Consider the following 27,731-nt stretch of genomic DNA (forward strand, 5'->3'; position numbering starts at 1 on the left):
GGAGCAAGTCACATCTTACATAGATGGCAGCAGGCAAAGTGAGAGAGCTTGTACAGGGGAACTCCTCTTTATAAAACCATCAGATCTCATGAGACTTATTCACTATCATGAGAACAGCACAGGAAAGACTTGCTCCCATGATTCAATTACCGCCCACCAGGTCCCTCCCATAGCACTTGGGAATTCAAGATGAGATTTGGGTGGGGACACAACCAAACCATATCATTCTGCCCCTGGCCCCTCCCAAATCACATGTCCTCACATTTCAAAACCAATCATGCCTTCCCAACAGTCCCCCAAAGTCCTAACTCATTTCAGCATTAACTCAATAGTCCACAGTCCAAAGTCTCATCCGAGACAAGGCAAGTCCCTTCTGCCTATGAGCCTGTAGAATCAAAAGCAAGTTAGTTACTTCCTAGATACAATGGGGGTACAGGCATTGGGTAAATACAGCCATTCCAAATGGGAGAAATTGGCCAAAACAAAGGAGTTACAGGCCCCATGCAAATCTGAAATCCAGCGAGGTAGTCAAGTCTTACAGCTCCAGATGATCTCCTTTGACTCCATTTCTCACATCCAGGTCATGCTGATGCAAGAGGTGGGTTCCCATGGTCTTTGGCAGCTTCACCCCTGTTGCTTTGCAGGTTACAGCCTCCCTCCTGGCTGCCTTCATGGGCTGGTGTTAAGTGTCTGCAGCTTTTCCAGGCACACGGTGCAAGCTGTTGGTGGATCTACCATTCTGGGGTGTAGAGGATGGTAGCCCTTTTCTCACAGCTCCACTAGGCAGTGCCCCAGTAAGGACTCTGTGTGGGGACTCCAACCCCACATTTCCCTTTCACACTGCCCTAGCAGAGGTTCTCCATGAGGACCCTGCCCCTACAGCAAACTTCTGCCTGGACACCCAGGCTTTTCCATACATCTTCTGAAATCTAGACGGAGGTTCCCACACCCCAGTTCTGTGCACTCACAGGCTCAACACGATGTGGAAGCTGCCAGGGCTTGGGGCTTGCACTCTCTGAAGCCGTGGCCCGAACTTTGTGTTGGCCCTTTTCAGCCACAGCTGGAGTGGCTAGGACACAGCACCAATTTCCTAAGCTGCACACAGCACGGGGACTCTGGGCCCAGCCCGTGAAATCGCTTTTGCCTCCTAGGTCTCCAGGCTTGTGATGGGAGGGGCTGCCATGAAGACCTCTGACATGCCCTGGAGATATTTTCTCCATTGTTTTGGGGATTAACGTTTGGCTCTTTGTTACTTACGGAAATTTCTGCAGCTGACTTGAATTTCTCCTCAGAAATGGGATTTTCTTTTCTATCTCATTGTCAGGCTGCAAATTTTCCAAACTTTTATGCCCTGCTTCCCTCATAAAATGGAATGCCTTTAACAGAACTCAAGTCACCTCTTGAATGCTTTGCTGCTTAGAAATTTGTTCCTCAGGATACCCAAAATCATCTCCCTCAAGTTCAAAGTTCCACAAATCTCTGGGGCAGGGGCAAAATGCCGCCAGTCTCTTTGCTAAAACATAACAAGAGTCACCTTTGCTCCAGTTTCCAACAAGTTTGTCATCTCCATCTGAGACCCCCTCAGCCTGTTTCATTGTCCATATCATTATCAGCATTTTGGTCAAAGACATTCAATAAGTCTCTAGGTAGTTACAAACTTTCCCACATTTTCCTGTCTTCTGAGCCCTCCAAACTGTTCCAACCTCTGCCTGTCATCCAGTTCCAAAGTCACTTCCACATTTTTGGGTATCTTTTCAGCAGTGCCCCACTCTACTGGTACCAATTTACTGTATTAGTCTGTTCTCACACCGCTGATAAAGACATAGGCGAGACTGGGCAATTTACAAAAGAAAGAGGTTTAATGGACTCAGTTCCACATGGCTGGGGAGGCCTCAATCATGGTGGAAGGCAAGGAGGAACAAATCACATCTTACATGGCTGGTAGCAGGCAAAGAGAGAGAGCTTGTGCAGGGGAACTCCTCTTTATAAAACCATCAGGTTTCATAAGACTTATTCACTGTCATGAGAACAGCATGGGAAAGACTTTTCCCCATGATTCAGTTACCTCCCACCAGGTCCCTCCCACAGCACTTGGGAATTCAAGATGGGATTTGGGTGGGGACACAGCCAAACCATATCATTGACCTTCCCCAAATTGCTTCTGGACTCACCTCCTTTAAGATGTGCTTTATGCTGCTTATTTAAGGTAAACTAAAAACAACCTGCCCACTAGCCACTTACACATGGGTTTTAGTGTTTTTCTTTTTTTCCATAAAGGTGATTTATAGACACTTTAAGGAAAATGTTTTCAAGCTGCTATTTTTAAATTTGCTTGGCTAGGCCGGAAAGGGTGGCAAGCACCTATAATCCCTTTTACTTGGTAGGCTGAGGTGGGAGAATCACTTGAGCCCAGAAGTTCAAGGCTACAGTGAGCTATGATGCCACCACTGCACTCCAGCCTGGGCAAAAGAGCAAGAACTTTCCTCTACAAAAAGAAAACAAAAAACTTGGTTATAGCCAAGTTCAATTGGCCTTTTACAACTATGCTTCTGTTTAAGAAGCCTTGTGTGACTTTTCATTTCCAGATGTAAAACATCACTATAGACAATTGAAAATTAGCCAAATAATACAAATTCAGCTATTCTATACTTTTGAAATAGACATCTGTGAAATAGACATTTGTGTTTCTCATTCAACAATACATAATATATTACTCTTCATTAATTTGAATCAGTAGTAATGAAAAAAATCTCATCTGGTAATAAGAATTGCCAAAGCCTGCAGCTTCTTCAGTGGTTTCTGGTGAGGAAAAAAAAAAGGATGATATAGTTAATAGGTGGTATTTTTTTTTAATTAGGAATTTGATGGAAGATGGTATAGATCTTTGGTTCTGAAGATACAGTATAAGTAGCTTCTTTTTGTTACTCTTGTATAAATTAACTTAAAATTTTTGTTGACATTTGAGCTTAAAAAACTAGCTATTATTGCAGCTTTCATAGTTAACTGTGTCATAATATCATTCTTTGCCTCATTATTAATACTTAGTATTTATGAAGAGTGAAGACTAACAAGGAGTGTGTCCCCCTCCCTTTTAATCTCTTTCAGCTACTTCTTACAACTCAGTTTCCCTTTAAAATAAATGAAAAAGTATTACAGGTTCTGACCAACATCTTTTTGTATCATGATTTCTCAGTTCAAAACTTTATAAAAGGACTTCAGGTAAGAACACAGTAATGGGTTTGAAAATTCTCAAGCTGATTCTAAATAATTTGCACATTATTTCAGGCTGTCTAGTGTGATAGGCATTTTAAATGGCAAAATCTAGAATAAGTAAATTCCAGTTATTTTATTCTAGGTTCTACAATTCCTTTGTTACCTTGCAGCAAACTGTAGAGAATGCACTCATTAGGATATCAATAATGGGAAAAGACTTCTATTCCAGCAATTCTTAACCATTTTGGGGGTAGGGGCAAGCAGACTTTTTTGGTTTGTTTCCGAGACTCTCATGAGAGCTTATGGACTTTTTCTACCAAGGAAATGCTATATATAAGGGGTCAGCAAACTTCTGTAAAGGGCCAGATATTAAACATTTTTAGCTTTTTTTTTTTTCGAGATGGAGTTTCACTTTGTTGCCCAGGCTGGAGTGCAGTGGCATGATCTCAGCTCACTGCAACCTTCGCCTCCCGGGTTCAAGCAATTCTGCCTCAGCCTCCCATGTAGCTGGGATTACAGGTGCGTGCCACCACGCCTGGCTAATTTTTGTATATTTAGTAGAAACAGGGCTTCACCATGTTGGCCAGGCTGGTCTCGAACTCCTGACCTCAGGTGATCCACCCACCTTGGTTCCCAGAGTGCTGGGATTACAGGCCTGAGCCACTACGCCCAGCCCATTTTTAGCTTTGCATGCTACATGTGGTCACTGCTGTTGCTGTTTCTGTTTCTTCTTCTTTAATAATCCTTTAAAGATATAAAAAAGGTTTTTAGTTTCTGGACCATGCATGTGTGTGTGTGTGTGTGTCTCTGTAATTTGTATTCTGATACATTGGGAATTCATTTTCACTAGTTTCATGAATTGCCTGAAGCTAATTCAGGAATTTAGCTTCATGATATATGCTGTAACCTAAAAAAGATCCCCATTCTCCAGTTGTTTAAAAGTTAGTATTATTTCCTTTTCTTGGAAGCTACATAAGTGTAGTCATTTTGAATACATGCCAGTTGTCTAGTTCATTAAAACCTATGTATTATGCCAGGCACGGTGGCTCATGCGTATAATCCCAGCATTTTAGGAAGTCAAGGTGGGAGGATCACTTGAGCTTAGTAGTTTGAGACCAGCCTGAACAACATAATGCAGCCTCATCTCTATTAAAAATAAAAAATAAGCCAGGCGTGGTGGCTTATTTATAGAGTCCCAGGTCCTCGGGAGGGTGAGGTGGGAGAATCACATGAGCCTGGGAAGTCAAGGCTGCAGTGAGCCATAATTGTGTCACTGCACTCTAGCCTGGGTGACAGAGCAAGAGACCTGTCTCTATAAAAAACAAACAAAATTCTGATTTTAAAAACCTATATATGTATTAGTAACCTTTGGTGCAAAAATTCAATTTGATAATACTTCATTTTGTGTAGTGCCTTGAAGATTATAAATTATTTCTCATGTTTCCTTCCTTCAAAAAAAGATTGCAGTGGTTTCTTTGGCTAATATGTATCTTTTCCTCCCAACTTTGACTTTTTAAAGAGTATTTTAAAAGAATAAAGCATTATTTACCTTAGGAATATGTAGAATTAAATGATATTAAGATTAAACTTTCTAAATTATTTCTTTAATTTCATTTCATTCATTTACTCATAAATACTTGTCAAGAACCTATTGTCAACCAAGCACTATGCTGAACCCTGAAGATACAGATAAAAATGAAATCTCTGGGCTGGGCGCGGTGGCTCACGCCTATAATCCCAGCACTTGGGGAGGCCGAGGCAGGCAGATCATGATATCAGGAGTTCGAGGCCAGCCTGGCCAACATGGTGAAACCCTGTCTCTACTAAAAATACAAAAAATTAGCCAGGCATGGTGGCGCATGCCTCTAATCCCAGCTACTTGGGGGGCTGAGGCAGGAGATCACCTAAACCTGGGAGGTGGAGGTTGTAGTGAGCGAGTGAGCGGAGATCATGCCACTGCACTCCAGCCTGGGCAACAGTGTGAGGCTCCATCTCAAAAAAAAAAAAAGAAATCTCTGCCTTCAAATTGTTATTTGTTTAATGATGGAGGCAAAACAGTAAACCCACAAATCTGAGTAGTCAGTGCTATGAAAGAAACATGCCCTGGGGTTCCATAGGAAAACAGAAGTGTATGCCTAAGAAATAGGAGCGAGCCAGGTCAGAATTTCAGGCAAAAGCAACAGTAGGGGAAGAGAGATCTGTTAGAATGCTATTGCAGTAATCTAGACAGGACATGACAAGGACTTAAATAAACTAAGGTAATGGTAGTGGAACTGGAGAGGAGGAAACAAATTTGAGGATGAGATCGAATAAAAAAACCTAGTGACTAAGTAGGTCATAGGATGTTCTGTTGTTTTTTTTTTTCTTACTTGACTTGAAGCTGAAAGGTTAAGAGAGGAGTAAGATGACACAGGCTCTAGCTTGGCAGATTGGAGGTTAGTACCGTTTATTAACTGTACATGTTAATACATAGCAAAGAGCAAGGTTGTTGTGAGAAAAGGATGAGTTTCTTTTTGTATCTGGTTAATTTAGGGGTGTGTTAGACATAAAGATTTTGTGCTCAGGAGAAAGATTTGGACTGGAAATAGATATTTAGGACTTATCCTTAAAAGGTGGCAGTTAAAATAATGTTATGAGGATGAAATGTCAGCTAGAGGGAGTAAGGAAAGGCTAAGGGCAGCACCTTAAGACAAACTGACCTGTAAAACTGAGCAGTAGAAAAGGAGACTAAAAACAAGGAGAACCGGTAGAAAGTGGAGTACCACTGAAGCCAAGGGAAAAAGAGATTCAGGAAATAGAAACTGTACTCTAAATACCTTGAGACAGAAAGTAAAGGACATTAACCAAGTTACTTAATCTCTCAGGGTCTCAGTTTTCTCATTTGTAAAATAAAGCAATCAGATTAGATGATTTTATGGTTTCCTGATAATTTATTAAGCACTTCCTTTATGCTTGACACTTTACTAAACTATTTACATGGTTTTTTTGTTTTTGTTTCTTTTTGAGATAGGGTTTCGCTCTGTCGCCCAGGCTGGAGTGCAGTGGCATAATCTGAGCTCACTGCAACCTCCGTCTCCCGATTTCAAGTGCTTCTCCTGCCTCAGCCTCCTGAGCAGCTGGGATTACAGGCATGCGCCACCACGCCTGGCTAATTTTGTATTTTTAGTAGAGATGGGGTTTCACCATGTTGGCCAGGCTGGTCTCGAACTTCTGACCTCCGGTGATCCACCCACCTTGGCCTCCCAAAGTACTGATATTATAGGCGTGAGCCACCTTGCCTGGCCTGCATGGTTTTATTCATGTGTATTATCCTCAGTTTTGCACATGAAGAAATTAAGATTTAAGTTAAGTGGCTTGGCCAAGGTCACACCACTAACAAGTGACAGCATCTTTAGACCTCATTTCCCCAGTTTTCCTAGTCCTCAGTGGAAAATATTGGTAAGTCGTGATTTCTACTTGAGACAGAGTCTCACTCTGTTGCCCAGGCTGGTCTCAAACTCCTGAGCTCAAGCGATCTTCCATCTTAGTTTCCTGAGTAACTAGGACTATGTAATTCCTGATTTCCATAGGATGTACAGCAGGACATATTATCATTCTGTGTGTTTTAGCCTTCCCTTCATTAGGTGGATATGTTAACCAACTTGTTGATTGACCCAGATATTGAAAACACACTTGAACAAAATAGTTAAGTGATAATGGGTTCATATCCTATTTGTAGCTCTACTGTAACTTCTGTGGCTTCCTCCCATTCCTCTTCCGCAGCAAGCCCCTTAGCCTGTTTAGTTTTTATTTTTCTCATGTCCGAAAAGTACTGTTAACATTGGGATAAGCATTATCACTTTGACATAATTAGAAAAGAGAAGAAACAAAATTATGTTAATATGTGCAAAAGTAATTTAGCACCTGGCATAAACAGTTGCTTTCTATTTTGTACTTGTTTCTAAGTTAGGCAGGCCCTTTGCCTTACAGCCTTAGAGAATGGACTATTTTGGAAGATTTCCTCTAGCCTTGGGTATCTTGTTGTCAGCATTATGAACTCAGAAATTCATTATCAGTTCCCCCAGGAAGGATCAAGCCCAAGATTATTGATTCATCCCAAACAAATACCTTAAGATGGATATGTAACCTAACATGCTAATTTATTAATTTGTGATGAGGAGTGACCAGTATCAGGGTACCTGAAAATACCAAACTGGTCAAGCAAAGTTTGCTTAGAATCAACATAATGAACATTTGCATAGTCTTGCAAGTTATACCAGTTTCTAGGTATAAAACTCAAGACTATCCAAATGTATACAAGATTATCCAAACGTTCATTATGTTGATTCTAAGCAAACTGAATGTTAGAATCTGGAAAATTGTCTTCCCTTCTACCATAGAGCCCACAGCATTCTATTATTAAAATGCTTATATCTACCAGATAGTACACCATGTTTTCCTCCATGGGAAAAAAATTAATTTGTAAAGATAAATTTTCATCATTCACTTTAATCCATAGGCACAGCTCCTACCATTGCAGCATTATTTTTTGTAACAGACCAGTTTTTACACTGATTTTAGATTGGCATTTTCTTATGAGTTTTGGGGTATCTATTAGACCCTTTCTTTAAACCTCAGTTTGGTCCACACCACATTTGTAATTATTATGTGTTGCTTTTGCAGATAGCTGTTCTATCCATTTGCATTAGTTTATCTTAGTTTGTATTTCAAAGATTACCATTTTCTGACCTTCTTCACAGAATTGGAACCTTAAAATATGGAGTTATATAGCCATTTTTATGTTGTTTGCAGTGTTATTGTGACATTATTAAATATATTAGTGCCATAAATACTTTGGCTCTTTAAAAAAATCCTTAAAATTGAGCAGATTGTAGCGCAATAGATTTACTGCCAAAATATAACAAATATGTTTAATCTTCACATGTCTTTCAGCTTTCTCTATTAGAGCATTTCTATTCCCAGCCCTTAAGTGTCCTGTGCTGTAATCTTCCAGAAGCCAAAAGAAGAATAAATTTTTTATCAAATAATCAATGTGAAAACATCCGACGTCTACCATCTTTTAGGAGGTAAAAAGAGAAGTACATGTTTAACACATACTATACTAGAATTTGGTACTAAATAAGAGATCTCAGATCCAGTTATTTCTGAAGTAGGGAAAGAAATAGTAACCTATTCTGTTTTTAATTGTGGGATTTCCCTTGTTGGATTTGAAAATTTGGCAAAAAGAAAAGTATTTTTACAAAGGGACATAATTTGCAAGTTCTCCAGAGTTACTTTTTAGAAATAACATTTCCTATTCCTGGGGTTTATGGCCTTTTTTAATGTTTATATCTATAGACTATGAAGTCCAGCTGATTTAAGGAGTTTAAAATTACCATTAAACCATAAATGTCATACTGAATTTATTTTTGTGAAGAAATGAAAAAAATGTGGCTACCAATCTAGGTAGTTCTTTTTCCCAATATGCTATTTAAATATGTTGAATGTTTAATTTTCTCTTTTTATGTATGGAATGGTGAAAATTCTAGGTACGTGGAAAAGCAAGCTTCAGAAAAGCAAGTTGCGCTCTTGACCAATGAGAGATATTTGAAGGTAGGAATGTGAATGTGTTTCAGTTTCATTCTCTTTTTCCTTTCATAAAGAAGAATATGCATGTAACATTTATTGAGTTAATAAAACATATTTGTGCATCTTAATATTTATACAGTGAAGTACTGGGTCTTGATAGTCACCTAGGAATGTGAGTTTTAAAGATGACATAAAACCTTAGCTCTAAAAGTTGAGGCTTTTTTTAATCAAGAAAAAATATTAAACACCAAGTTTCTCTTGTGGCCTATTTTGAAAGCACCTTTAGATCTATAGAGATCTGCTATGTGAATCTTTTTCCACCTAGCAGTTTTGGAATCTGCCAGCAATTTCGTTGTAATGTTCTTTTTAAAGGCTGTGATAAATAAAAGCATTTAGAAGCCAGGCAGCTTAGGCGTCTGCTGCTAAGTGGGTATTGATTTGATTTGAAGAAATATCATTATATATTGATAATATAAAGCTAGGAAAGAAGTAATGAGCTTAGAAAATTATCAGTGAGCTGTACAACATAAGGAATATCAAAAGAAGGAGGGCTTCTTTCTTGAATAAATAATACTTGGATGTAGTATATAATTCAAAATGGATATAGTATACTATATATGTTATAGTATATAATATACAGTGAAAGGCTTCGTTTCACCTGTCTTCCAACTACCCATGTCCCTTCCCTGGATACAGCCAGTGTTACTAGTTTCTTATATTTCATTCTAGATAGAGTCTCCATACATACAAGTAATTATATTATATTTTGGCAGTTGCTGCCTTCTTACAATATTCTGCACCTTGTTTCATTTTGTACTTAATCTTGGAAATCATTCCATATTAGTACTGAAGAGTGACATAGTAGTCTATTGAATTAATGTACCTTTTTTAAGAACATGCCTCTTACTGATGAGCATTTAGAAACACATAATGTCACATTTATTTTCATACTCCTCATGCCTTTTTTAGGAAAAAGTTGTTAGAATATTGTAATGATAGTAAGATGAGATTGAAGGTAAGCCATAGTGCTAAAGATGAGTTTTGGTAATACATACGATTTTCAGATTTTGAACAAGAGAATGTTAGATCTTATACATGTACAATTATATATCCATTTAAAAAATTAAAAATGTGTTTTAAAAAATGTTAGATTCTAGAGGGCATGTGTTTCCCTCCATTGGTAATTTATGCCCATTATAAATGCTCAAAAAATATTCAGAATGGCTTTTATTAAACATTATTTCTAATGTAGAATCCACACTGGGCCGTAATATAAAGTCACTTCTAGATTGGGCTCAATAATCATTTTAGTAATCTCTGTAATGCCTTCAGAGCAGTATAGGAGGTTCTCAGACCTCCATGCAGGTTGTTTTGCTGGGAAGAAATTTAAGAACTAGTGAGAAAGAATGTGTGCATGTTTACTGAGTCTTTGGAGATTAGCTAGATTAGCTCTCTGTTGAGTCAGCTAGTTGCCAAGTCCATTTCCTGCTAGAACTTTCTGTCAGAGTTATTTCAGAAGCCAGGAATAGATTTTTTAAGAGTACCTTTAACCATTGAGATGACAGAGGGAGAGAATGTCTAGGCTAGTGTATTATAGAAATTGCCTGACATTGGTCAGGCACGGTGGCTCACGCCTATCATCCCAGCACTCTATGAGGCCTGGGTGGGTGGATCACTTGAGGTGAGGAGTTCAAGACCAGTCTGGCCAACATTGTGAAACCCCATCTCTACTAAAAATACAAAAATTAGCTGGGCGTGGTAGCGCATGCCTGTAGTCCCAGCTACTCAGGAGGCTGAGGCAGGAGAATCACTGGAACCTGGGAGGTGGAGGCTGTGGTAAGCCGAGATTGTACCATTGCACTCCAGCCTGGGTGACAGAGCAAGACTCTGTCTTTAAAAAAAAACAAAACAAAACAAAACAAAAAGAGCCTGACATTTATGTCTGCTTTTCAGTGACTTTTTACATATTTTCTTAGCATTTATTTATGCTATCCTTGTTCTTGTTGCACTGTCAGTTTTGCTTGTTATGATCTTTGGTGTATTCATTTTCAAATTACATACTTTGTCATATAAGTGCATGTTTTCTAGAGACTTATACAGTGAGAAATATGAAAAAGCACAGAGATTTGTACCCTTACCCTGAAAAAGTTAGCTGCAGGCTACCTGCTGAAATCAAAAGACAGAAAGTGTCTAAGAAAAAATGAATGTTTTAGGCCAGGCACGGTGGCTCACTCCTGTAATCCCAGCATTTTGGGAATCTGAGGTGGACGGATCACTTGAAGTCAGGAGTTCAAGACCAGCCTGGCCAATATGGTGAAACCCTGTCTCTACTAAAAATACAAAAATTAGCCGGGCATAGTGGTGCATGCCTGTAATCTGAGCTACTCCAGAGGCTGAGGCAGGAGAATCACTTGAACCTGGGAGGTGGAGGTTGCAGTGAGCCAAGATCATGCCCTAGCGTCGGCAACAGAGCAAGACTCTGTTTCAAAGAACAAAAACAAAACAAAACAAAAGAATGTGTCTTGATTTTTTAGTTTAAAGTATCTTTGAATATTCTCATAATAATGCTTCTCTTTTTATGGTTTTGTAAAAATACATGACAATAATGTGGTACTACAAAATATAGGAAATTTTGTATTTGAACTGCAGTTACTCATTAGCTATCTATATTTAAGAAAATCACTTACCTTATTTAAGCCTCAATTTTCTTTTTTTTAATTATACTTTAAGTTCTAGGGTACATATGCGCAACGTGCAGGTTTGTTACGTGGGTATATGTGTGCCGTGTTGGTTTGCTGCACCCATCAACTCGTCATTTACATTAGGTATATCTCCTAATGCTATCCTTCCCCCAGCACCCCCACCCACCAACAGGCCCTGGTGTGTGATGTTCCCCACCCTGTGTCCGTGTGTTCTCATTGTTCAACTCCCACTTGTGAGTGAGAACATGTGGTGTTTGGTTTTCTGTCCTTGTGATAGTTTGCTGAGAATGATGGTTTCCAGCTTCATCCATGTCCCTGCAAAGGACATGAACTCATCCTTTTTTTATGGCTGCATGGTATTCCATGGTGTATATGTGCCACATTTTCTTAATCCAGTCTATTATTGATGGACATTTGGGTTGGTTCCAAGTCTTTGCTATTGTGAATAGTGCCGCAATAAACACACGTGTGCATGTGTCTTTGTAGTCGTATGATTTATAATCCTTTGGGTATATACCCAGTAATGGGATTGCTGGGTCAAATGGTATTTCTTGTTCTAGATCCTTGAGGAATCACCACACTGTCTTCCACAATGGTTGAACTAATTTACACTCCTACCAACAGTGTAAAAGTGTTCCTATTTCTCCACATTCTCTCCAGTATCTGTTGTTCCCTGACTTTTTAATGACCGCCATTCTGACTGGTGTGAGATGGTATCTCATTGTGGTTTTGATTTGCATTTCTCTGATAACCAGTGATGATGAGCATTTTTTCATATGTCTGTTGGCTGCGTAAATGTCTTCTTTTGAGAAGTGTCTGTTCATATCCTTTGCCCACTTTTTGATGGGGTTATTTTTTTCTTGTACATTTGTTTAACTTATTTGTAGATTCTGGATATTAGCCCTTTGTCAGATGGGTAGATTGCAAAAATTTTCTCCCATTTTGTAGGTTGCCTGTTCACTCTGATGACAGTTTATTTTGCTGTGCAGAAGCTCTTTAGTTTAATTAGATCCCATTTGTCAATTTTGGCTTTTGTTGACATTGCTTTTGGTGTTTCAGTCATGAAGTCTTTGCCCATGCCTAGTCTTGGTATTGCTTAGGTTTTCTTCTAGCGTTTTTATGGTTTTAGGTCTTACATTTAAGTCTTTAATCCATCTTGAATGATTTTTTTATAAGGTTAAGGAAGGGATCCAGTTTCAGCTTTCTACATATGGCTAGCCAGTTTTCCTGGCTCCATTTATTAAATAGGGAATCCTTTCTCCATTGCTTGTTTTTGTCAGGTTTGTCAAAGATCAGATGGTTGTAGATGTGTGGTGTTATTTCTGAGGCCTCTGTTCTGTTCCATTGGTCCATATCTCTGTTTTGGTACCAGTACCATGCTGTTTTGGTTACTGTAGCCTTGTAGTACAGTTTGAAGTCAGGTAGCATGATGCCTCCAGCTTTGTTCTTTTTGCTTAGGATTGTCTTGGCAATGTGGGCTCTTTTTTGGTTCCATATGAACTTTAAAGTAGTTTTTTCCAGTTCTGTGAAGAAAGTCATTGGTAGCTTGATGGGGATGGCATTGAATCTATAAATTACCTTGAGCAGTATGGCCATTTTCACGATATTGATTCTTCCTATCCATGAGCATGGAATGTTTTTCCATTTGTTTGTGTCCTCTTTTATTTCACTGAGCAGTGGTTTGTAATTCTCCTTGAAGAGATCCTTCACATCCCTTGTAAGTTGTATTCCTAGGTATTTTATTCTCTTTGTAGTAATTGTGAATGGGAGCTATTTAAGCCTCAATTTTCTTATATAGAAAGTAGGATAATAGGCTGGGTGTGGTGGCCCATGCCTGTAATCTCAGCACTTTGGGAGGCCAAGGCAGGCAGATCACTTGAGGCCAGGAGTTTGAGACCAGCCTGGACAGCATAGCAAAACCCCTTCTCTACTAAAAATACAAAAAATTATCCAAGTGTGGTGGTGTGTGCTTGTTAACCCAGCTACTTGGGAGGCTGAGACACTAGAATCCCTTTAACCAGGGAGGCAGAGGTTATAGTGAGCTGAGACAGCGCCACTGCACTCCAGCCTGGGCAACACAGCATGACTCTGTCTCCAAAAAAAAAAAAAAAAGTAGGATAATAATTCCTAGTATGATTTTTTCATAAGGTTAGTGATAATCAAAGTTTGTTCAGCAAATAAAAGTGATTTGAAAACAAATATAATGATAAAGCTTTTATAAATGAAAATAATAACTTGTTATATATTTTTCACTCATAAAAATTAAGATCAATATGAACACATTTTATTTATTTATTTATTTTTATTTTATTTTATTTTTTTTGAGGTGGAGTTTTGTTCTTGTTGCCCAGGGTGGAGTGTAATGGCGTTATCTCGGCTCACTGCAACCTCCACCTCCCAGGTTCAAGAAGTTCTCCTGCCTCAGCCTCCCAAGTAGCTGGGGTTACAGGTGCCTACCACCACACCCGGCTAATTTTTTGTATTTTTAGTAGAGACAGGGTTTCACCATGTTGGCCAGGCTGGTCTCAAACTCCTGACTTCAGATAATCCACCCGCCTCGGCCCCGCAAAGTGCTGGGATTACAGGTGTGAGCCACCGCGCCCAGCTTTTTTTTTTTTTTTTTTGAGGGGGTCTCGCTCTATCGCCCAGGCTAGAGTGTAGTGGCACGATCTCAGCTCACTGCAACCTCCACCTCCTGGGTTCAAGCCATTCTCCTGCCTCAGCCTCCCTCGTAGCTGGGATTAGAGGCATGGGTCACCACACCCGGCTAATTTTTGTATTTTTAGTAGAGACGGGGTTTCACCATGTTGGCCAGGCTGGTCTTGAACTCCTGACCTCAAGTGATCCGCCCGCCTAGGCCTCCCAAAGTGCTGGGATTACAGATGTGAGCCACCACACCCAGCCAATATGAACACATTTCAATGTATATAAAGATGTATATACATTTTTATGTATTATAATATACAATCTATATGTAATATTTATAATACTCTTATGTTATATAGTTGTATAGACATGCCTACCATTAGAGTTTATCATTTTGTGCCCATTTTCTATATTCAAGTGTCTAAGAGCTAGACCTCACAGAATATTCCAGAGAAATTTACAGTCTGTATAACTGGAAACCACACTTCAAGAACTACTAAGTTAGACTGCCTCCCTAGGAGGAAGCATTTGTTATTGTTTCCCCCATCACCTCATTTTCTTAAGCTAGAACTAATCTATTAAGTTCCCACCTAAACAAATGATTGATCTCAGTTATCCTCTGACTAGAATCAAGACGTTAACAAAAACCTTTAACTCCCTCAAAATTATGGATCCACTGCTTCAGAACTATATGTCAGCTTTGAATTTAATGAACTCAGTAATGAGTTTTTTAAAAAGTGTACTTTTAAATGTAAAAATTTAGCTGACTAAAACTAACACAGGAACAGAAAACCAAGCACCACATGTTCTCATTTGTGAGTGGGAGCTGAACAATGAGAGCACAGGTCGGAGGGAGAGCATCAGGATAAACAGCTAATGCATGCGGGGCTTAATACCTAGATGATGGGTTGATAGGTGCAGCAAACTACCATGGCACACATTTACCTAAGTAAGAAACCTGCACGTCCTGCACATGTATCCCAGAACTTAAAATAAAATAAAATTTAAAACTTTACCTGACTAAACAATGTACATTTGTAGGTGATTTGCTAGGAATTTCCTACTAAGGAGGGACATTAGAAGACCTGGTACAGCTGATGAAATACTGAAAATCTTCATACTATGTAGAAAGCTTAGATTCATTCCCTTGCAGGTGACAGTTGAAGTTTTATTATTCTTACTTGTTAATGTTTCACGTCTTTATACCTATTTTCCCAACTAGACTTTAAATCCTTTTAGAGTGAGAAATAAACCTTGAACTCCTTTAGCACCCTCATTTCAAAAATGAAGAACTGCAGCCAAGAGAAAGGAAGTGAAATATCTCATGTCACAGAGCAAGTTCATGGTAGAGTAAGGACTTCTTTTCACCGTTTAGTATGCTTATCATAGTGTCTCATGAACAAAAGGCACAAAATCAGTTCATGAGTTTGATGAAGACCTGCCTTTCACCTTTGACCCCACCTCTTTCTGTTTCTTTTGTCAGACCTACAGGGCAGACAGGGGGAAGAAAATTTCTTAGAAAAAATAATAAATGGAAAAGTAAAGGAAAAAGGAAAACAATCACAGTCTATCAAATGTGATCAAATGAGCTGGGCATTAGCCTAGTGTGTCAGGAATTAATCATTTAAATTCAAACTCTTTGTCAAGTGCTTCTCTTGATCTATACTGCTGAGGTAGGAATATGGAGAACAAAAGGTAGAGACAGATGAGAAGACTAGCACTCTTGCCACATAAGTGCTAGGAGAAAGCTGTGGTTTGGCATTCTTATTAGATAGCAGTAATATGCTAAGTCTGGAAAACACTGCCAGCCAGCATTTTTCTCTAATGAGAAAAATAAGGCTTAGTTATAACAAGATAATAAATGAGAAAATTCTGTGTTCTTAGACAGCTGATATCTCTTAATCCTAAAATTCAACAGTCTGTTTTACCAGTTTTTAATGATCAGTGAATTGATTGAAAAGAAATTACAGAAGTTTATAGTCATTTTTACATACTTTATTTTATAATCTGAGGTCACTGTTCACCCCTATACATACAATTTTAGAGACAAAAGTGGTAAGTACTATGGAAGTAGAAGAGAAATAAATGCATGGCAAATGTAATTCTGCCTAGCCTTTTTTTCTTTACCTGTATAAGTTTTACATATGTATTGACTTCTCCTCCAGAGAAAGCAGCTAGCTCAATAACAATAGGGGGTCTGTCATATAAGTAAACAGTGATATATGATTTTTAAAAAATAGATTCAGGGGGTTACAGGTGCAGTTTGTTACATATTGGATGATGGTGAGTTTTTGGCTTCTAGTGTGCCCATCACCTGAATAGTGAACATTGTACCTAATAAATAATTTCTCTGCCGTCACCCCTCCCAACCCTACCCCTTTTGAAGTCCACAGTGTCTGTTATTTTACTCTGTATATACATGTGTACCTATTATTTAGCTCTCACGTATAAGTGAGAACGTGCGGTATTTGATTTTCTGTTTCTGAGTTATTTCACTTAGGATACTGGCCTCCTGCTCCATCCATGTTGCTGCAAAAGACATGCTATCAGTGAATGATTTTTGTATGAATAACAGACAGGATTGATGAGGTTGGAGATGACTAATTTAAGAGGGTATATTGCACATTAAGAGGCAACCCACAGTCTAATGTAAATGTGTTTTTTAAACATACATTTAAAAAAAATGTTAGAACCAATATTTACATATTGAGAAATTTTACGTTACAAATTCAGACTTTTGAAAAATCAGGAAATCTAGACCACATCCAGCAAGACAAAATATGGTTGCTCTTACTTAAAAGAGAGACTGAGGCTGGGCACAGTGGCTCACACCTGTAATCCCAGCACTTTGGGAGGCCGAGGCAAGCAGATCAGCCTGGGCAACATAATGAGACCCCATCTCTACAAAAATTAGCCGGGTGTGGTGGTGTGCACCTATATATAGTCCCAGCTACTTGGAAGGCTGAGACAAGAGGATCACTTGACCCTGGGAGGTCAAGGCTGCAGTGAGCTGAGATTGCACCACTGCATTCCAGCCTGGTTGCTAGAGCAAGATCCTGTCTCAAAAATTAAAAATAAATAAAAGAGAGACTAAGTGTTCAGCCTTCATTCATTAATGTACTCTTCATTCAGCCAATATTTTTCTAGTGCCTATTATGTGCCCGGTGTTAATCTAGGTTTTGAGAATACAGGAGTGAACCAAACAGCCAAAACTTCTACCGTTTTCATTGTATCAGGGAGACAGACAATAAATAAGATAAATAAGTAAAATATCTGTTAGTGATAAGTGCTGAGATAAAAACAATGAAGCAGAGAAGAAGGATATGAAGTTCCATGTGCGTGGGAAGTGGAGTCAAAATTTTAAATAAGGACCTGACTGAGAAGGTAAATTTTGAGTAAAGACCTAAAGGAAGTCACAGAGCTTGCCACTCAAGAATCTGGAGGAAGGGAATTCTAAGCAGGTAGAAAGGACCTGAGGTTGGAGCATGTCTGCCATATTTGAAGAAGAGCAAGGAGGCTGTTATGTATTGCTTTGCTTTTTTTTTTTCTTTTTGAGACAGTTTCGCTCTGTCACCCAGGCTGGAGTACAGTGGTGCAATCATAGCTTGCTGCAGCCTTGACTTTCTGGGCTCAAGCAGTCTTCCTACCTCAGCCTCCTGAGTATCTGGGACTACAGGCACATGCCACCATGCCCAGCTAATTTAAATTTTTTTTTTTTTTTTTTGTAGAGACAGGGTCTCTCACTATGTTGCTCACTATCAAGCTGGTCTTGAACCCCTGGGCTCAAGTGATCCTCCCACTATGGCCTCCCAAAGTGCTGGGATTATGGGCATGAGCCACTATGCCATGCCTGTTTTTCTTATAGCAGAGAAATATTTCTGTTCCTTTGTCAAAAATCAGTAAAGACTAAGAAGTCTTCATGCTTAAAGAACAGAGAAAGCATATCTTTTTAGTAAATAATGCATATTCCTAGACAAAGTGTATCTCCGTAGAAAAGAATCATTGTAAACACAATTATGAAACAAAATGGTGACAGCTATGACTAGTGTGCAGAAAAAGTGCCTGAAGAAAAATTTAACATATGGAAAGTAGGGTTAATATTTCAACAGGCTTTATTTTCACATGTACATGGTATGATGCTGCTGTAATGTATTAAATGGAAAATTTTTTTTTGAGATGGAATCTCACTCTGTCACCCAGGCTGGACTGCAACAGCGCGATCTTGGCTCACGGCAACCTCCGCCTCCTGGGTTCAAGTGATTCTCCTGCCTCAGCCTCCCAAGTAGCTGGGATTACAGGCTCCTGCCACCACACCCAGCTAATTTTTGTATTTTTACTAGAGAGGGGGTTTTGCCAGGTTGGCTAGGCTGGTCTTGAACTCTGACCTCAGGTGATCCACCCGCCTCGGCCTCCCAAAGTGCTGGGATTACAGGCGTGAGCCACCCTGCCCGGCCCGAAAATTTTCTCATATATCAAAACCTTTTACAGGTTTGAGTTTGTAAAATAGTGTCCATAAGTACATTAAGAATTATTGTTTTAAGGCCGGGTGCAGTATCTCACGCAGTGTCTAATCCCGACACTTTGGGAGGCCAAGGTGGGCAGATCACTTGAGGTCAGAAGTTTGAGACCAGCCTGGCCAACCCAGTGAAACCCCATCTCTGCTAAAAATACAAAAAATTAACCAGGCATTATGGCAGGCGCCTGTAATTCCAGCTACTCAGGAGGCTGAGGCAGGAGAACCGCTTGAGCCTGGGAGGTGGAGGTTGCAGTGAGCTGAGATCACGCCACTGCACTCCAGCCTGGGCAACAGAGCAAGACTCCATCTCCAAAAACAAACAAACAAAAAAGAATTATTGTTTGAATAAGTAAAGGCAGATACATATGTGCAGGTATCTAAGTAAGATGGAAAACTTAGAGGACATGTTATAAGAAAATGTTAATCATTTGTGATGTTTTTTGTTGCAACTGATAAAAACACATATAAATAACAATGAAATCTTTATTATGTGGAGATTAGGTTCTAAAGTCAGCACATAAGGTGAAGATCTGGGATGGTCAAAATTACTCTTGAAAAATCCCTTAGAAAGGTACAGCAAACCTTCTCTCATTCGTTAAGTCCATCATAGCCAGTCTTTTTCCCCATTGTTGGAACCAACCACCATTTCCTCAGTTGAGCACCAGATGATATAGTCTGCCATGTTGTATGGAACAAAACAAAACAATACAATACAAAACATTTTTTAGGCCAGTCACGGTGGCTCACACCTGTAATCCCAGCACTTTGGGAGGCTGAGGTGGGTGGATCACTTGAGGTCAGGAGATCAAGACCAGCCTGGCCAACATGGTGAAACCCTATCTCTACTAAAAATACAAAATGTTAACTGGGCATGGTGGCAGGCACCTGTAATCCCAGCTACTCAGGAGGCTGAGGCAAGAGAATCACTTGAACCTGGGAGGTGGAGGTTGCAGTGAGCAGAGAGTTAGACTTCATCTTAAAATTTTTATTTTTATCTTAAAATAAAATAATGATTAAAGCAAAACAAAACATTTTTTAAACACTAGAACTCTACTCAGCACAGGGATGCACCACACAGTGAAAAGTATGAAGGAACTGAGACCACCTAGGAGAAAAACATGTTTATATTCCTCATCGAACACTTATTCCAGGGCAGGTATGTTCCTTGAGTATGCAGTATTGCCCTATAGTGGGTAAAGTATTTCTTTTCTCTCCTTATCCAAGTAAATGGAATGAAGATACTCACTTCTACTGCATCACCCAGATACTTGTACACATAGCTATTCCACAAGGCAAAAGAAAATAGGTAGCACAAGTAGCATGCAGTGTGATTACTCAGTAATAGAGTTCATTTTCTTCAAAATATTCCCCCTGTTTAAAAGCTATTTAAGCACACATCAAGGTAATTAATGGCTTTATGCCATCTGTATGTTATGGCTCACAGTAAAAAACTAAAGAACTAAGCTAAAGTTTAGAACTAAAGTATACCCTCCCAATGGTGGTTAAAACAATTTTTGATTATGGCTACTTTTGTTATGATAGGAGATTTAGATTTTGTTGTGATAGGAGACATAGATTTTGAAATTACCAATCAACTCAAATAATGGGAGGGAAAACATTTAGGTGCTAAAAACTTTTCTTTAATCTGCCATGTGCTTTCAGGTAATGACCCGTAGATCGTTGACCAAGGAATTGATTTCCTAAGTGAGTTGGTGTTTAGGAAGATATGTCATATTTATTGCTTTATAGAGGTTAGATTTGCTTGAATTTATTGATATCTGAGTTATTTTCTATATGGCTGACCACTAAAAATAATGGGTATCTGCAAGATATTACTGAAATAAAGACACAGCCCAGCAAAGCCTTTATTTGACTTCTTAAAGGAGAAAAATATTGAAGACCATGGCACAGATGATAATCCTCTTAAGAAAATGTTACAGAGTAAGTGGTTATAAAAGGAATTGAGGCCTGAAAATTACCTGATAGGATATAATGTTTTAAAATCATTTCTAAACTATTTCAGGAGGCTCTAGAAAACCTCTCTCTCCCCTCAACAAAACCTTTTGAAACTGATTTGTGAGATTAATCATCCATAGGTTTCTTCTTTTTTTCTGTATCTAAATCCCTAATATGGCGAGTAGGGCTAGTTTTCGGTTGTGGGTTTTTTATTTTTATACAAATGAGGTCTCACTATGTTGCTCACCCAGGTCTTAAACTTCTAAGCTCAAGCTATCCTCCTGCCTCAGCCCTCCAAAGTGCTGGGATTACAGGCGTGAGCCACTACACCTGCATAGATTTCTTAAGACACTATCCCTCATGTCATCATCCTTGCTAGATTCTAAATTATAAAACTTGTTGGCTTCAGATTTATTTATTTATTTATTCTTTTTTTTTTCTTAATTGGTGAAGCAAATAAAACCAGTATTGGAGATCTCAGCAAGAGGCAGGGACTCATCAGAATCACTTGTGTTTCTGCCATAGTCTTTTCATTTTCCCCTTCAAACACACTAACACACTTGAGTAGTACTTTAGGAAAAGTATGCAACATAAGCAGAACTTTAGCAAGTTCATTAGGTTGGTACCATTCTGTCTGGTGATCTCACTCTTCTGATGCTAGCAAGGTGGAGGATAAAGCACCTTCCCTTGCTGTGGCACACACCAGGTGATGGGCACAGGCAAGCATCCACTAAGGTGCTTTCTTGCATACTTGTAATTTTGGTGGCCAAAGTATTGTGGGAATGCTAGAGCTATCAGGAGATTAAAATACAGTATCAATTCTGGCTTGTGTAAAGTATCACCAGACTTGATACTAAATCAGAAATGCTCTGCCTGTATTCTGGATTTTATATGTATTTCAAATTTTCATGAATTAATTTGTAGTTTTGAATCTTGTCAGTTTTCCAGAAATTTTTATAGCCATGAAGTAGATTGTATTATTATGCTCTTTTATTAGCTGACTTACATATTAATAATATATTCTGTGATTTTTAGGAGGAAACACAATTATTACTAGAAAACCTGCATGTTTATCATATGAATTACTTCCTGGTTTTGAGATGTCTTCATAAGTTCACCTCTTCTCTTCCCAAGTATCCACTAGGTCGACAGGTAATCCAAGCCTCCTCATTTGTAATCCATGAAGTAGGAATGTTAGTATTTTCTTGCTTTGGTTTTTGTAGCATTCAGGCATCAGAATGTGAAATGAAGCCAATCCTTACAATGAGAACACAATCTAAATCCATTCCAGCTGTAAACATTACTGGTAATTGATATTGTTTTTTTGTTCAGATGGCCACAGCTAGAAACAGCCGTATGAATCCCAGTGGTGTTGCTTCCCCTACAATGTTTTTGTACTAAGGCATTTGAACTTTCCTTCTTTAACACTTCCTTGTCACCTGTACTGAGAGAGCTGTTTCTCTTCCCTTAATGGAAGAAGGAATCTGTTTGAGAATGCTTGATGGTTAACCTTGCACTACACCCAGAATAAAAAGAGAAGCAGTACTTCTGCTGCTTGAAAAATTATGCTCAGCTGGCCTTTATGTTATTCGATAAACCTATCAACCATCTGTAGAGTAGATTTTAGCAGAGAAATTCTATATTCCTAAATCATCTTAGCTCAAAGCTTTGGAGAACAAATACCAGTATGTAAGAATGACTTGTTGGCTGGGTGCAGTGACTCACGCCTGTAATCCCAGCACTTTGGGAAGCCAAGGCAGGTGGTTCGCCTGAGGTCAGCAATTCGAGAACAGCCTGGCCAACATGGTGAAACCCTGTCTCTACTAAAAATACAAAAATTAGCCCGGCGTGGTGGCACACACCTGTAGTCCCAGCTATGAGGGAGGCTGAGGCAGGAGGATGGCTTGAACCTGGGAGGCGGAGGTTGCACTGAGCTGAGATCACTGCACTCCAGCCTGGATGACAGAGTGAGACTCCGTCTAAAAAAAAAGAATGACTTGTTCATGAGGTGATTTTTGCCATTGAGCCTTAAATGAGCCTCTTTTTCTCATTTTTCCTTTATCAGTTTCTTATTTTAAAATGACCACTGATATCAACCAATCTCAGTATAGCCTCATTTTACTTTTATATAAATTGCATTTTTTTTTTTTTTTGAGACAGAGTCTCGCTCTGTCACCCAGGTTGGAGTGCAGTGGCGCAATCTCGGCTCACTGCAAGCTCCGCCTCCCAGGTTCACACCATTCTCCTGCCTCAGCCTCCCAAGTAGCTGGGACTACAGATGCCCGGCTAGTTTTTTGTATTTTTATTAGAGACGGGGTTTCACCGTGTTAACCAGGATGGTCTCGATCTTCTGACCTCCTGATCCGCCCGCCTCAGCCTCCCAAAGTGCTGGGATTACAGGCGTGAGCCACCGCGCCTGGCCGTAAATTGCATTCTTATAAAGCCTGATCCATGAGATATATGCCAAGTCTATTATAATCTAAAGAAAATGACTTTTAATAACATTAATTTTTTTTGTGTTGACCAGAAATGATTTTTGCCAAACTAGTAGTGTGTATACACTTTTGGTTCCTCACAAATGTGTTGTTCCCTTACAGATCAGAGAGTTGTACTGTACATGTTTAGAAAAGAACATATGGGATTCAGAGGAGTATGCATCAGTCTTGCAGCTGCTGAGGTAGTTTTGTTTTTTCTTGTTTTTCTATTTTTGTCTGCTATAAGCCTGCCAGTAAGTAGCACCTTCCTCTAGAACCCTGCCTGCCAAAAAGTTTCATAAATAGCCATGTTGTGTCTAAGAATATTTGCATATATCTTGAATTTATCCATGTAGCTTATGATGTTTTTAATATAGCAACTATCCGTTTCTTTGCTGGTTTAACCTTGCATTTGAGCTTGTGGTTTTTAAAGGAAAATCCATGATTGTTTAGTCAAATACTGACACTACCCTAAGAGAGCTTAGATATGGATCATTTGAATCCAGCCAACTTTACATCATGGCAGGGAAAGCAAGTCATGAAAAGTGAGGTCACCATGTCCCCAACCTGGTTGAATGCAGGAAGAGCATCATTGGGTGATATGTACCCAGTGGTCACAGCTGACCTTGACTAGGAGCAGCAAGGAGTAGGCAGTGGCCTTGGTGCCTTCCCTCACCTTAACATTGGCTAATTCATAAATTATTTATCTAATAATATACAAGTAAATAAAATATCTTAGTGTTAAAGTTATTATTTATATTCCTTGGTTTCACTTCTTATATGTATAGTTACTTTTTAGTCTTCCATAAAAAAATGACACTTGGATAGTTATAAGGGGAAATCACATGTGAGCTAAGTTTCGCCAGTTTTATAATTTTCCTCAGAGGTTGTAAATGCTTATATAAAAATATTTTAAAGAAGTCTGAAAACTGAATATTTATTAAGTCTTGCTTTCCTCTGGGCCCACAAGAAAAGAACAGATGGGCACAGTAGGAGGAAAATTCACACTGAAAGCACTTCAAGTCCAGAGACTTAATAATACAAATATTAGTGATCTAGCAGGTGCAGCTTAAGATAGAAAATGAATTTCATGCTATCTGGAAAAATACCTCCCCATGGAAACTAGATTGCCACTGAAAAGCTGTGTTTTATTTCATTTTTTAAAATCCCAACAAGATTTCTTTTTTCTTCTTTTTTTTTACCCATAAGGAAACCAAAAAATCCCAATAAGATTTCTATGTATTTATAAGCTTATGTCAACTATAGTATTTCTGAGACTTATTTTGCTTTCTAAATATACCTATCTTATATACCCAGTTGATTCTTTCAGGTTTTTCTCTTTTAAGCTTTGTGATTAGTAATTGTCTTCCTTCTCCAGTGAGGTGTTCCCAGATTCATAGATTCTTTTGTCAAAGAGGAACTTGTTCTTTTTGTTCTGAACCTCCCAACACCAGTTGTCTTAGGGTACAGTCAAGAACCAAGAATGCCAGTTCCAAAGTAGGGTAAGGAAACATGAGCAGCAGTAGTAATGGTGATAGCAGTAACCATCACTTATTGAAGGCTTGCTGTGTGCAAGGCACTTTGTTAGGCACTCTCAGTACATTTTCCAATCTAAAACTCTTAATATACCTTTATGGTAGATATTATTAGGCACACTTTACCCCCTGAGGAATCTGAAACACACACAGGGATTAAGTGACTTGCCTGAGATCACCTAGCTGCTGAGGGAACCAGGATTCTACTCCAGGTCTGACTTCAAAGCTGTTATACCTTCTGCTTTTCTTGGCCAAGATCTAAAATATGGATTTGGAGATCTGAGTACAGCAGAAGCAAAAAATAGAAAATGAGATTTCATTTTGCTAAGCTGAGGTCAGAAACATGGGCAGTCAAGAGCAAAGCAATGTAAAAAGCACTATGGGTCAAATATAATACCTACAGCAAGGACAGGCAGGAGTCTGGGTTCTATAAAAGAGGAAAGGAATTGGGGAACCTCTGGGCTGGAATCAGCCTTTTCTCCTTTGTACAGATTTGATGTAGAGCAGAAGTCAGGGACGCTTTTTAGTTAAGGCATTCTCAATAGGCATCACCTGAACTTGAGACCATTCTCATCACCTGTCTTGAAATTTTATTTAACTCATGAGAGAAAAGACTAAAATGACCCCTGAATGATGCTTTGGAAAGAATAACTGCTTAAGGTACTATTAGAAACATAATCTAATTAAATTTCTTATTTGAAATTTTTTATAAGAATCAGCTTAAATTATTTTTCAAGAAAAAATGCTTTTTACAGATTGAGCATCTCTAATCTGAAAATCTGAAATTCAAAGTCCTCTAAAATTTGAAACACTTCAAATTTCAAAACTTTATGAGCACTTGTGATACCACAAATGGAAAATTCCACACCTGACCTCATGAAATGGGTTGCAGCAAAACAGAGGCACACCACAGTTTATTCAGCTTGCCATTGTTTGTTGCTGTTGTTTAACACTGATATGGGTATTACTTAGTTACACTTAACACATTATTTTTTCACTGTACCAATGGTGTGTCCTGTTTTTTAAGTGTTAAGTACTTATATGTGAATAAGTGTAAGAAAATGGTTGCATATAAATTCAAGAGTCAGTAATGATGGGGATACCAAGCAACTACAGATTGATTGTCCATCTAGTTGGCCGAGATAGTGACACCTTTGCTTTCTGATGATTCAGTGTACCTTGTTTCATGCAGAAAATTATTTAAATTATTCTATGAAATTACTTTCAAGCTGTGTGTAGAAGGTGTATTTGAAACATAAATGAATTTTGTGTTTAGACATGCATCCCATTCTCAAGATAATCTCATTATGCACATATGGCAAATATTCCAAAATCTGAAAAAATCCAAAATGCAGAACACTTCTGGTCCCAAGCATTTCAGATAAGGGATACTCAATCTGTATGTGGAAGCTGACATGTTTAAATAACCACAGATCAGATGAGATCCAGCCCATTCAGGTTAGTATGGCTGTAGACATCCCTCTACCCCTAATTCTTCTGCTTTGTTTGGGAAGAACATGGAAGAAAAGGTGACTTCTGCCTCCGCTGCTCTTACCCCCACCATAGTGGCCTTTGGCGATGCCTCCTACCTTCCCCCAACAACTCTCTTGCGTGTTAGAGAGAAGGGGCCCTCCCAGCACAAAGTTGCATTCCTCCCCCCAATTTATTCTAATTTATTAATTTAGTCCCACCCCTTCTGAGCCTGCAGCCTTCTGCAGCCTGGGGACTGTAGAGTAAGTAGCTGCCCCAGCCCCTCCCAGGCCTGACCCAGCCTGGGGAGTGGGACAAGGTGTGGGTGTGGCCCTGTTGGAGGTTGATGTTGCTGTTTTTATCTCTTGGCTTTGTGTTTGTGTTCTGTGATACTTTTTGAGAAAGAAGAGGCCAGGCACAGTGGCTTACGCCTGTAATCCCAGCACTTTGGGAGGCCAAGGTGGGCGGATCACTTGAGCTCAAGAGTTTGAGACCAGCCTGGGTAACATGGTGAAACCCCCTCTCTGCCAAAAATACAAAAAAAAAAAAAAAAAAAAAAAAATTAGCCTGGCATGGTGGTGCACATCTGTGGTCCCATCCTTGGAGGCTGAGGTGGGAGGATCACTTGAGCTTGGGAGGCAAAGGTTGCCCTGAGCTGAGATCGCACCACTTCACTCCAGCCTGGGTGACAGTGAGATTTCGTCTCAAAAATATACATATAAAAGAAAGAGAAAAAAAGAAATGTGAGCAAAGCAGAAGGAGGCGGATTCAAACCCCAGTGTGTCACGCCTCATGCCTTTTCTTTAGTGGTGGGAAACCCTTATCTTGTAAAGGGAATGTGTCCCCTTCTTCAGCCAGCCTCTAGTGTATTTCACAGAAAACAAAACCTCCCAATAAAACTGTTGAAACCTGGAAAATAAAACAAACAATATGTCATCTACTTGAAGAAATATCTGGTGACCATTTAAAACATATTTACAGTGACTTTGTAATAATGTGGGAGAATGTTTATGTCACATATTTATTAGTGGAAAAAGACCTATATAATTTTATATCACAGTTATTTTTTAAATGTATGCAACAGACATTCATGTGTGTGGGGAGCATGCAAGTGTTCATTTATAATATATGCCATTATTTGACATGAGCTCAGTGGTTCTGCATATGTTCTGCCTTTCCTTGCTCAGTCAACTCTTGGAGTATGAAGACCACATCCCTATATGGGATATGAGTAGGTTAATTTTTCACTCAACCCTGTGTCATTATATAAGGATATGTTTCCATTAAAAAGCCATTTGGGAACAGAAAGTAGTAACAAATGATGCTAACCCAGCAGTGAGCTAGGTAAGTACAACTGTTTTTCCTTATCAGATGTGAAAGACTGTAAGAGGAAAATTTTACCCCTCTATTGGAGAAAATTTCTGAACACCCATCTAGAAATCAAATGCTAGGCCAGTAATTTTTCATATTTTTAAAATTCACTGAACCTTGCATAAATAAGGTTTTAAGGGTTATTGTAAATCAGAGGCAGCTGGGTGTGGTGGCTCATGCCTGTAATCCCAACGCTTTGGGAGGCCAAGGTGGGGGCAGATCACAAGATCAGGAGATGAGGAGTTCGAGACCAGCCTGACCAACATGGTGAAACCCCGTC

At 39.1% G+C, this 27,731-nt stretch overlaps 1 protein-coding gene across 15 annotated transcripts in view, besides 2 other annotated features; it reads left to right on the top strand.

The window, feature by feature from the left end:
* Window positions 1-27,731, top strand: part of ORC3 (origin recognition complex subunit 3) — an 87,689-nt gene that overhangs the window by 23,074 nt on the left and 36,884 nt on the right. For 11 of the 15 annotated variants that reach the window (XM_017010632.3, XM_017010633.3, XM_005248704.3 and 8 more), the window contains 5 exons: window positions 3,106-3,219; window positions 8,146-8,279; window positions 8,742-8,805; window positions 21,637-21,753; window positions 23,199-23,278. In XM_017010632.3, coding sequence (XP_016866121.1) covers window positions 3,106-3,219; window positions 8,146-8,279; window positions 8,742-8,805; window positions 21,637-21,753; window positions 23,199-23,278 — 509 coding nt within the window. The remainder of the gene's footprint in view (window positions 1-3,105; window positions 3,220-8,145; window positions 8,280-8,741; window positions 8,806-21,636; window positions 21,754-23,198; window positions 23,279-27,731) is intronic. The other 4 variants (XM_047418550.1, XM_011535651.3, XM_047418551.1 and 1 more) reach the window with 1 other exon arrangement.
* Window positions 533-1,034: an enhancer, noted in NCBI's record as "H3K4me1 hESC enhancer chr6:88323459-88323960 (GRCh37/hg19 assembly coordinates)". NCBI's record gives its function as "activates a minimal SCP1, AML or CMV promoter by ChIP-STARR-seq in naive H9 embryonic stem cells {active_cell/tissue: H9 hESC(naive)}" and the evidence as "EXISTENCE:reporter gene assay evidence [ECO:0000049][PMID:30033119]".
* Window positions 26,136-26,652: an enhancer, noted in NCBI's record as "H3K27ac-H3K4me1 hESC enhancer chr6:88349062-88349578 (GRCh37/hg19 assembly coordinates)". NCBI's record gives its function as "activates a minimal SCP1, AML or CMV promoter by ChIP-STARR-seq in primed H9 embryonic stem cells {active_cell/tissue: H9 hESC(primed)}" and the evidence as "EXISTENCE:reporter gene assay evidence [ECO:0000049][PMID:30033119]".

Source organism: Homo sapiens, chromosome 6, assembly GCF_000001405.40.
Source record: "Homo sapiens chromosome 6, GRCh38.p14 Primary Assembly".
In the NCBI taxonomy this organism is placed as follows: domain Eukaryota; kingdom Metazoa; phylum Chordata; class Mammalia; order Primates; family Hominidae; genus Homo; species Homo sapiens.